The sequence below is a fragment of the Homo sapiens genome, chromosome 15 (genome assembly GCF_000001405.40).
Source record: "Homo sapiens chromosome 15, GRCh38.p14 Primary Assembly".
Lineage (NCBI taxonomy): Eukaryota > Metazoa > Chordata > Mammalia > Primates > Hominidae > Homo > Homo sapiens.
In genome coordinates this window covers 21,440,884-21,452,654 of record NC_000015.10, presented here as the reverse complement: position 1 = coordinate 21,452,654, position 11,771 = coordinate 21,440,884, and positions in this window count along the sequence as shown.

Sequence of the window (11,771 nt, the reverse complement as noted above, 5' to 3'; positions counted from 1 at the left end):
GAGCACGCGGCGCTGCATGCGGGAAACCGGAGCTGCGCCTCCTGCCGCCCCTCAGTCGCTAGGCAGGAACCCCAGGAGAGGCTACGGTCCCCTGACCTCCACAGAGGCTCGCCAGGGCCGGCGCGCAGGGGCAGGTGGGCGCGGGGGCTGCCCTGCGGCGCCGCAGCCTGGGCCTCCCCTGGCACCCGTGGTCGGCCATCCGCCGCGTCCGCAGCGGCGCGCCGAGCCTCTCCAGTTCGCGGGCCCTCCCCGGCTCGCTCCCGGCTTTTGCAGACCTCCCCGGCTCCTGCCCTGAGTCCGAGCAGAGCGCAACGCCAGCCGGCGCCTTCCTCCTGGGCTGGGAGCGAGTGGTGCAGCGGCAGCTCGAAGTCCCCCGGCCTCAAGCAGCCCCCGCGACTAGCGCGACACCCTCGCGGGATCCGAGTCCACCCTGCCACCAGCGCCGGGACGCCGCGTGCCTCAGAGCCCAAGGGCTGACCCGGGCCTTCCAGGTGGTCCATCTCGCTCCTACGGCTCCCGACGGTGGCGCTGGGTGTCCCCCATCCCGCAGTTCCTACCGGCTGACCCATGTGCGCTGTGCCCAGGTACCCCGCCGGGCAGGGCTGAGCAGCCCGGACCCCGCGCTCTCCTGCGCCCAGATTCAGCGCTGCAGTCGCCAGGGAAAGTTTGCGCTCCGGACTGGCCGCGGCGCCCCGCCTGCTCTGCACCTCTCCTGGCCCACCACGCAGCCCGCGATTCGGGATCCCAGAGGAGAGGGGTGCGGGCTGAGCCGGGGCCACGAGTCCTCTCCCGCGCTCCCGCCCTTTTACCTCACTGTCCCGCCGGGCGCACGCAGAGCTCACCTTGCGTGCCGGCCGGTGGAGGCGAGCCATAGGTGACGGTGCATCCTCCTTCTCCGCCTGCTCTCGCCCGGCTGGCAGGGGCTGGAGGCTGCCAGCGCCAACCTTCCCGGCGCTCCGGGGCGGAGCAGCTCCTGCGCCCTGCGCTACCGCAGCGGCCCTTCAGTCAGCTCCGCGCCGTCCCCAGCAGAGCCCCCGGCGCACCAGCGCCTGCTTTTCCTTCCCCGAGCGCCTCAAGCAGTCTCTGGGCCGCAGGAACAGCCCTCTGAAGAGGCGCTTGGGTAGAGGCCACCAGACACTCAGCAAACGCGCCCTCGGCCCCGCTCGGCTGAGCGGGAGGGCGCAGGGCCCGCGGCTGGACCTGCAAGGGGAGTTCCGGTTCTGCTGAAGTTTCTTTAGGGCCTTCAGCAGCGTCTTCGGCGCCTCCTGTAGTCGCCGCTGTCCTCTTGTAGTGCAGGGATGGGAGGGCAGGGTCAGGAGCCCGGCAACAGAGGCCAGTTTCAAGAGCTTTGCTCCCCTAGGGCCGGCCCCCCCTCCCTGCCCAGGCCTGGGTCCCTCCCGGGTGCTCTGAGGCACCCCCGGACATGCGCATGTCTTAGTCGCTCCTGAAAGAAATTGGCTTGTTGTGGGCACTCTTTTCATCTCATTCATAGACAGGAGTGCATTGCTGCCGGACGGAAAGCCAGGGTCACATGGGACTCCATTAGAATGAAACCCTTACCTAATGCAGTATATATTTGGGGGTTTTCTGAAGTTCCATTTCTTAGCAAGAAGCCTCGGTGACAACGGGAAAGGGCCAGGGGCCAGGGGCCGCAGGTCCGAGAGCAGGTCTGGGGTGGCGCATCTGGGGTGGGGGGGCGGGATTTCCCTAGCAGGGCTTCCACGCCACGTTGGGCACTGCCTCATTAGCCACGCACATGGGGTCTTACTATGGTCATTACATAGGTGTCTTGTCCGTCCGAGTGATGCAGTTCCTGGGAGGTGAGGGTGGCGTTAATGACAGCTGGGTGGCAGCAGGGCCTCTTCAAACAACACAAGCAAGATGGGGCCAAAGCAGCACAGCCCATCGTCTCGGGGTTTCGGGGTCTTGCTTCCTCAGGAGGTGGGGGCCTCTCGACTGTAACACCCAGTGGAAAACGTTCAAGACTTACAGGAAAGCCACCAGAACATGATGGGGAGGTTTATTTACACCACTGTCCCCTTCCTTTTGTGAAACTGCATTGTTTATATTCTCTTTTAACAGAGTCATGGTAAGAAAAGGCAAATTCTTAACTCTCCTCCAGGAAAGATCTTTGACCTTCCAGTGTAGGAAGCCTCTCAGTTTTCCAGTTACACCTAATACAGTGTATTCCAAATCTAAGTTACCCACTAGTACTTCGGCACATTCCAGAAATTCTGAAATTTTCTGAAAAGGAAACTGGTAAGTCTATTCCAGGAGCAGGACATAAGTGTATAAATGTGCAAATATACAGGAAGCATTACTCTGAATACGCGTTTAGCCACATTATTAAATAACTGTTTCCAGTGGTTCTTCACAATATATGAATAAGATGCTCATTTGAAAGACTTTTTAAATTCTAAAATGGATCATTGAACACGTGCATTTCTTCATTTTCTAATCTCTCAAAAGATGTATCATTAAGGTGAAATTCCTTGGTAGTCATTAAATTTTAAAAAGTTAACAACATGGTTTTATGATCAGCCTACTATAATTTTCACCTATTAGGTGGTGGAATTCTAGGCTTAGAATTACCAGCGACAGCTGCTCGCCTCTCAGGATTAAACAGCATAATGCAAATCAAAGAGTTTGAAGAATTGGTAAAACTTCACAGCTTGTCACACAAAGTCATTCAGTGTGTGTTTGCAAAGAAAAAAGATGTAGACAAATGGGATGACTTTTGTCTTAGTGAGGGTTATGGACATTCATTCTTAATAATGAAAGAAACGTCGACTGTGAGTATGTTCTTTTGGTGGATTATGTTTAAAACTTCCATGTTTTTTGGTACACTTTCTATCAGTTTTATGTCAACACAACACATATCGTCTTGGTAAGAATTTCATTTTCAGTGTCAGAGCCTAAAATAGCTGGAGGTGGAGAAGCATGAGTGGAACATGTGCCAGAGAGCGCCCACCCTGTCCCCCAGTCAGGGGCAGGAACTGAGATGGGTGGGTGTGTTTGCATGGGTGGGTGTGGCAGAGGTGGCTGAAACGTGAATGCAGTGTCATCCTATAAGTGAGACAATGTGTTATTCGTCTTTCTGTGCTTGGCTTATTTCACCAAGCATGTTCTCCAAGTCCATCCATGCTGTCAAAAATGGCAGGATTTTTTTTATTCATTAATGCTAAATAATATCCCACTGTGTGTGTGTGTGTGTGTGTGTGTGTGTATTTTTTTTCATTTCTTTATCCATTTATCCATTGACAGACATTTAGGTTGTTTCTATTACTTGGCTATTGTTAAAAATGCCCAAATGGACATAACAGTGCAGGTATCTTTTCCAGATATTGATTTTATTTCCTTTGGCTATATCCCCAAAGAAATGGGATTGCTGGGTATAGAGTGGTTGCCAGGGGCTGGGGGAAGGAGAGATGGGCAGATGTTGGTCAAAGGGTATAAAATTTCAGTTATGCAAGATGAATAAGTTCTGGAGATCTACTGTTCAACATTGTGAATATAGCTAACAACACTGCGATGTATACTTGACATTTGCTGAGGAGGTAGATCTTATTGTTCTCACCACACACATGAAAGAGGGCAGCTCTGCGAGATGATGGGAATGTGAATGAGTTTGATTTTGATGGCAAAATATACATATATTAGTCATCAAACTGAACACCTTAGAAACCAGATTTTACATCAATGAATGGTTGAATGAATAGATCTGCACTTCTGGATTTCTTTAAAAATGGGAAGACACTCCATAGCTTTAGCAACGCTGGGCACCCACCCATTCCCACCCTCCTGCACCGCCTGCATTCCACAGATACCTGACATGGGTCCTTAGAGGAACGTGATCTATCCTTTTTCACACTTTGCCTCCTTTGTGTAATTAGGAAAATCGAGGCAAATGGGGCTTTTTAAAGGATTTTAATTTTTTTCTAATTTCATTGTATCTATTTTGTCTTCACTAGTGGCTTATTTACTGTATCTGTATTTTACCTTATTTTATTTTGTGATGGCTCTAGGGTTACAGCCAGCATCTTTAACTTAGTATAGCCTACCTTTATTTTGTTTATTTATTTATTTATTTATTTTTGAGAAAGAGTCTTGCTCTGTCACCCAGGCTGGAGTGCAGTGGTGCGATCTCGGCTCACTGCAAGCTCCGCCTGCTGAGTTCAAGCCATTCTCCCCCTCAGCCTCCCCAGTAGCTGGGACTACAGGCACTCACCACCATGCCCAGCTAATTTATTTTATTTTATTTTATTTTATTTTTATTTTTATTTTTATTTTTAGTAGAGTTGGGTTTCACCGTGTTAGCCAGGATGGTCTCGATCTCCTGACCTCATGATTCACCCGCCTCAGCCTCCCAAATTGCTGGGATTACAGGCACTAGCCACTGCACCTGGCTGAGGACATGTCTTTGAAAAGGTAGCATAACTCCTATTTCTAGCTGCTCTTGCAACTAAAAGTGGCTGTGTACAGAATAACTCTATTCCTCTATATCCAGTTTGGACAAACCAACTTTCCATTGATTTAAGCACACTTTCAGAATAAAGCGTAATTTCTTATCTCAGGAATTCCAAAGTCTAATGGAAGAAGCAAGCTTATACTGAATAATTTAGCAAAGCAGATTGTGCTTGGCAATAATAAAGTAATTCAATATCTGAAACATAAGAAAAGAAGGAAATATCTGTTTCATAGTTGTAATTAATTAGAACTTTACCATGCAGAATAGGTAGAGAGGCATTCCTCAAAAGATTAAGAGAGGTATAAAGTAAATGTAAATGTCAACCATAGGGGTTTTCTTAGGCAGAGAATCATGCTTTAGGGTAAATGAAGGTGATGCTGGTATTCAGGTTCCTTTGGAGAAGGCAACAATAAAAGTAGAGTTATCATTTATGAGATCCAAGAAGCCCAAGAAAAGATAATAAGAGCCCAAGCCACAGCAGGCTCAGCCTTTTTTTCCTAAATAAAAAGGAACGAATAGCTAAATGTGACAAAAGTCAAGGTATCTTTTAAGAAAGTTACACTTCCTCTGAACCACAACAGAAATCAAAGATAGTCACCCTACAGCACTCCTTGCCTCTCTTCCAAGGATACAGCTATGTATTGTTTTTTAAAAAAGGTAAAGGTAAAGAGACATGGTCACTTGACCATGTCTCTATCCAAGGTGAATTTCTCCAAAAGCACAACTTTGGGACACTTGTATGAGATATAGTTTAAACCCCACTGAATTTGATTTCTCACCCTCCCAGACACTTACCTTTATTATTTTCTCATATTTGTTTGCTTTTGTTTCCTTAATATAGTCTAGGAAATGTATCTGTGGGCTGTCCTACAGGAGAAGTTACAATGAATGGAAAAATGTGAAGAACCTTCTATTCTCCCAAGAGTATATGGCAAAGAGGGTGCAATTGCACCCAAAATATCAGTGTGGAAGGGTCACATAACTGATACTATAAAGTAACACATTGTCTTACAGAATTCTCATTCTTAGGCTAAAATATTATCTTCTTCATCAAACTTACTTGACTGCATGTTTGATGTTGTTTGAGTAAAATATAATACTCTTTTATTTCCCAAATGCACACACACACACACACACACACACACACACACACACACACACACACACATATTATATTATGTTTTGGGAAATATATGTGCTATAGTATCTATATTTATTCACTTCTTAAATTTGAACTTAATTAAAATGACAAAATGAATTTGCTGAAAGGAGTTGGTAAAATGATCAGCTGTATTCAGTCACATAACTATTGTTTAGTCTTAGTAATGAAAATAGAAAAAAAAAACCAGCCAGGTGCAGTGGCTCACGCCTGTAATCCCAGCACTCTGGGAGGCCAAGGTGGGTGGATCGCCTGAGGTCGGGAGTTCGAGACCAGCCTGGCCAACATGGTGAAACCTCATCTCTACCAACAATACAAAAATTAGCTGGGTGTGGTGGCACGCACCTGTAACCAGCTACTTGAGAAGCTCAGGTAAGAGAATCTCTTGAACCTGGGAGGCGGTGCTTGCAGTAAGCCGAGATTGCGCTACTGCACTCCAGCCTGGGTGACAGAGTGAGACGCCACCTCAGTCAAAAAAAAAAAAGAAAAATGAATATAGAAAAAAACGACAGACGCTAAAAGCTAAGAAAATAGTGTGTTCATTTTGGAATCTAATTCAAAATTCATTATAATGAATTTTAACGGGCCACCAAAGGTATGTGTTGAAGTTCACTGAATATTATTCAATGTTTGAGAATTACTGACAGCACATATATTTCATTTGTAGCAATGTTTGATTTGTTTTGCATCCATATATTTGCATTTATTTAAAACAAAAAACATCAAAGTATATTTCATCTGTTATTTGGAAAAAACATTGAGTAACTAATTGTCCAAATATAGCTATTTTCTAATTTTTAATTAAAAATGCTTCCTGTTTAAAAAAATAACTTATTTCAAAATAACTGACATTTAATGTATTTACATTTTTTAAAGTGTTCACGCACATCTATTTAATTTCTAGATGTCTTGAAGGAATCGTCACTGTATCTGGAAGCCAGATGCCAAAGATGTTCAGTTATTATCAATGCATCTATGCATAAAGGATTGAAAATGATTCTTCATGCCATAATTTATCTAAATGTTCATTCCTTTGGAAAACTGTTTTCCACCAATAGTAACAAGACTTGGAACAAAATAAAATAGCAATATCATATGCATTTTCTATTTCTGCACTTTTCCACTTCTGGAAATAGTCATAGAATCATCTTGTGACAGATTAATATCATCCATGATCCTAAGCCACTAAGAATAAGTGTTAGATTCTTTGGGTTAAATTGTCATAAGGACTAAATTTATTTTTTTAACCAATTCCCTAAAGAATCAACTGATATTTCTGACATAGTTTTACAGCATATGTATCACCTCTCCATCCATTTTGCCTTAATTCTATTTCTTTTTATCCTTCACTGGTGAGGATGAGAAAACCTGGATGCATATGGGTATGGTTGATTTGAAAAGTACTTTTTAAACATTTGGAAGTTTTTCAAAACCAAAAACATATTTGCCAAGTGATCTTTTTCCCCTATATTTTAAATCCATGTGCAACTTAAAAGAAACTTAGACCATATGCTAGTTCAGATTCACTTATATTAAAATCATGAAAATTTTATTTAATAGCTCTTTGACACACAGGGAGTGTTTAAATTAAGCTTCTCTAAATTTTACATTTCTCAAAATACACTCTCTTTCCTATCTACCCTCAACTACTCCTCACTACTCTCCAAGAAAATATCAGGTTTAATTCAGGAGATGTAAGTTGGATGTTGTCAGTCCATCAACAATGATTAAGTAATTTAAAAAGCATTCTTTTCTTCACTTCTTCCCTAGATTTTTTGTTTCTTTGTTCGTTTAAATATCTCTGTGCAAGTTCTGAACAGTTTTATTTATATCAGGATCAATAATCTGAGGAATGAAATAAATTGTTGCATTTGTTGCAATAAATGAGTTTATGCTTCCTTTACAGAACATTAAGGACATGAACTTTTAAGAACATTTTAATGTTTCACTATAAATGATACTTGAGCCTTGCATTAGAATACATAATGTAAACTTATATAAAGAAAAAATAAAAATCTTCTCCTTCTCATCTGCATTTGCAATCCCACATGCACTGAAGTAATCAATGTTAATGGTTTTCTGTCCATTCGGCCACACCTCTAATGGATGGAATTTATGTAGTGTAATTCTTTGTCAGGTACAACTACACATGAGTAAAACTAGGTGTGATTTAGAACTCAAGATTAGGATTTTTATCTAGTAGTGAAATGGGAAGGGAAAAGCAAAAGTAAAATATACATCAACTAATGGCAGAATGGTGTACAGAAGGGAGTCATCTGTATATATGACATCTGATGGCCCCGCCACTCAGCTAACCCATCCACACATGAAATAATAAGTAGACAAGTGCATTGAAAATTGTAAGTGTGACAGAAAGGTCACCACTTGATTGCTACTATTATATCGTTTTATTATTTTGTTCTCCCAACAATGTATAGCTCAAATTTATACTACAGGCTGTTCATATCCCTTAACAAAATATCCATTAATTTATGAATTTGATAAAATTCTAACTTACTGCAGTGCCCTACAAATAATAGTTTGGCCCATCTGTGGTGATGACTGTTCTGGAAGATCTTTCTGATGTTGAATAACTAATATTGTGTTTCAATGTTACTATTAGGTTGGTGCAAAAATAATTGCGATTTTTGCCATTAATCACAACTACATTTGTGCGAACCTAATAGTAATTTAACATTCTGTATCTAACATTTGTGGACACTGATCGAATATGCAATATTCTGGGGAGAAGTTGGTGGAAGAGATGTGTGTTGTTTTGTGAAAGATAGTATTCTGAGGGAAGGCAGAAAAGGGATATACATATAAGAAAATAGTGGATCTTGATCAGATGCACACTTGTTCCTATTTACAAGAAGTCTACTCTGTGTTACTGAACAAATCAACTTACATGAAGTCAACTAATTCCAAAGAATTTACCGTCTAGAGAAATTCACATTTGTAATAATAAATACTTTTCTTAATGACAGAAATTTTATAATATGTCTTTTTTACTTTATAGCTATAACCGTAGAGTTATAAAATCTAAATACAGACAAGCCTACCCAGTGTTTGATTATATTCAATGATGTTTAAAAGTAATGGCCTCTCTTTTGTTCTTACTGGGAAAATTATCATTAGCACAGTGCTTCATGCAGGCTCTTATTACTTCTATCTCCCATTGTTATGATTGGCAAAGCACAAAGCCATACTCAAATTGGAATGCTTGGGCACATTGCAGTATTTATCACAGGGTGGACTGGATACTGAGTTTCTTAATTTATAAATATTTCTTTCCAATGCAAAATTCATGAAGGCTTAATGTTGGGAAATGTCTGAATGGCTATAAATTCCCTTCCTAATTCCCTCCCCTCAATGCATACCCATTTTTTTTTGGCTCATTCTTAGAACTGTAGCTGTTCTTGAATCTTTGATGAGTTGAAGCTAATCCACATTCGGATTTTACAATCTCATATAATTGCCAAAATTCTACCCTTCAAAACACTTGTTTCTTTCTTTTTTTTCTCTTACATTTCCTCAAAGAAAATTAGTGAAAAAACAATTTTTTATTTGGTCTGAAACTTTATGGTGGAAATCTGAGGACAGGAAGAAATTTAGGGACTTGTTCATGCACTTTTGATTTGGCGAATGCCTGGAATATATTTTTTTCTCTCTGCACAATGCAAAGTAGTTGCACTCACAAAGTATCAATTAGAAAAAGAAATTCTTTCCACATTTCATCAGAGTTTTAAGTGGTTACACCACAATAATCCCCAGCTATTTGGGAAATGGTAAAAAAAAAAAAAAACAACTTTGAAGATCAAGCCATCATTATTATTTTCACTAAAACCTAAAAATTCAGCCACAATATGTCAAACCAGTTGGGACAGGACTTCCTTCCACTAATTTAGTTTTTACTGCTGGATACCTGATGGGCTACTTACTATATCAGGTGTCTCATAGGGCAAATTGTACCTGGAGATAAAAAAAAGAAGAAAAAAACAGGCTCCACCCCCTAGCAGCAGAATACAGCAGAACATTTAGGTACCCACAGAACATAAACCAAAATGGACTGTATCCTGGATTTTAACAAACATTAAGAATTTTTTAAAAACTGAAATCCTGTAGAATGTATCCTCCAGCCAAAATGGCATCAAATTAAAAATATAAAAGTAAAATAACAGCAGAATCTTAAATACTTGAAAAATAAACAGCATACTTTTTTAGTTCTTTTTTTTACATTTTTATTTATTTTAAGTTCTGGGGTAGGTGTGAAGGATGTGCAGGTTTGTTACATAGGTAAATTTGTGCCATGGTGGTTTTCCCTACCTATCAACCCATCACCTCGGTTTAAGCCCAGCATGCATTAGAGATTTTTCCCAATGCTCTTCCTCTCCCTCCCCCATCCACAGGCCCCAGTGTGTGTTGCTTACTTCCCTGTGTCCATGTGTTCTCATTGTTCAGCTCCTACTTATAAGTGAGAACATTAGATGTTTGGCTTTCTGTTTCTGCATTAGTTTCCTGAGGATAATGGCTTCCTGTTCCATCCATGTCCCTGCAATGGACATGATCTCCTTCATTTTTATGGGTGCATAGTATTCCATGTTGTATGGGTACTGCATTTTCTTCATCCAGTCTATTACCAATGGGCATTTAGGTTGATTCCATGTCTTTGCTATTGTGAATAGTGCTAAACAGCAAGCACACTTCTAAGGAGAACGTCTCAAGGGAAACAATTAAATATATTAAACTGAATAAAAATAAAAATACAACATATCAAACTTGATTTAACACAGTTGACGTCAGTGCTGAGAGGAAAATGTATTTCACTAAATATATATAATAGAAAAGTAGAAATCTCTCAAATAAAAATTCAAGCTATCACATCAAGAAAGTAGAAAATAGTAGCAAAATAAAATCAAAACAAATATAAGAAAGAATATAATAAGGATAAGAGCAGAAATAAATGAAACAGCCAAAAGAAAACAACAAAGAAAAGCAAAGAAATAAAGCTGGTTCTTTGAAAATATCTATAAAATTGACAAACCTTAACTAATAATGATAAAGAAAAAAGGGATGTCATAAATTACCAGTTTCATGAATGCAATGGGCTAACATTAGCAGTAGAACTCAGCAATGTACACAAAGAATTACACAGCATGTCCCAGTGACGTTTACTCCAGTGACTGCACACCTAGACATTCATCCCACTGAAATAAAAACTTTTTTTTTGCACTTGCAATTGGCTTCCCCTCTGCTTTTGTTGGCAAGAGCAGGTCGGTGTCCCAGGCTTAGAATCCATTTTTCTCTCTCTCCGTCTGTCTCTCTGTCTCCGTCTCTGTCTTTGTCTCTGTCTCTCTCTCTCTCTCTTTCTTTTTTTGACAGAGTCTTGCTTTGTCACCCAGGTTGCAGTGATGCGATCTCGGGCTCACTGCAAGCTCCGCCTCCCAGGTTCACGCCATTCTCCTGCCTCCCGAGTAGCTGGGACTACAGGCGCCCACCACCATGCCCGCTAGTATTTTGTATTTTTAGTAGAGATGAGGTTTCACCGTGTTAGCCAGGATGGTCTTTATCTCCTGACCTTATGATCCGCCCGCCTCAGCCTCCCAAAGTGCTGGGATTACACGCGTGAGCCACAGTGCCCGGCCAGAATGCATTTTTCCTCCCACACCAAAGCACCTGCAGTATGGGTGAAGCAGCCTGGAGCCTGGCTGCATAAGCCTGCACAGCAGGAGGGTCCCAGCAGGAGGGTAGAGGTGCCACTGCCTGGGTCCAGCTCACAGGCTGCCAGGGAGGCTCCGATCTGGCTCCCTGGTGCTGGCAGTGTCCTGTTCCCAGGATCTGCACGTGGGGGTGCCTTCCTGCATCTCCCCATCAGTGGTAGGTGCTCCTCCCAGCCCCCTCTTGCAGGCCTGGAGACAGCGGCCTGCACCTCAACCCTACTGCATGCCAGTGAAGCGAAGCACCCCGGGCCAGAAGCCCCACAGCTGTTGGCCCTGGTTTGGACACCAGGCAGGGGGCACCACAGCAGGAGCTAGCAGCCCAGCCCCGATTCTGTGGCCCCGAGTGCCCCGTTGCTGATGGCCCTGTGTTCTGGGTGCGGACCAAGGAGGAGCAGGTGTGGAAGGCGCCTCAGGCAGGCCCTGG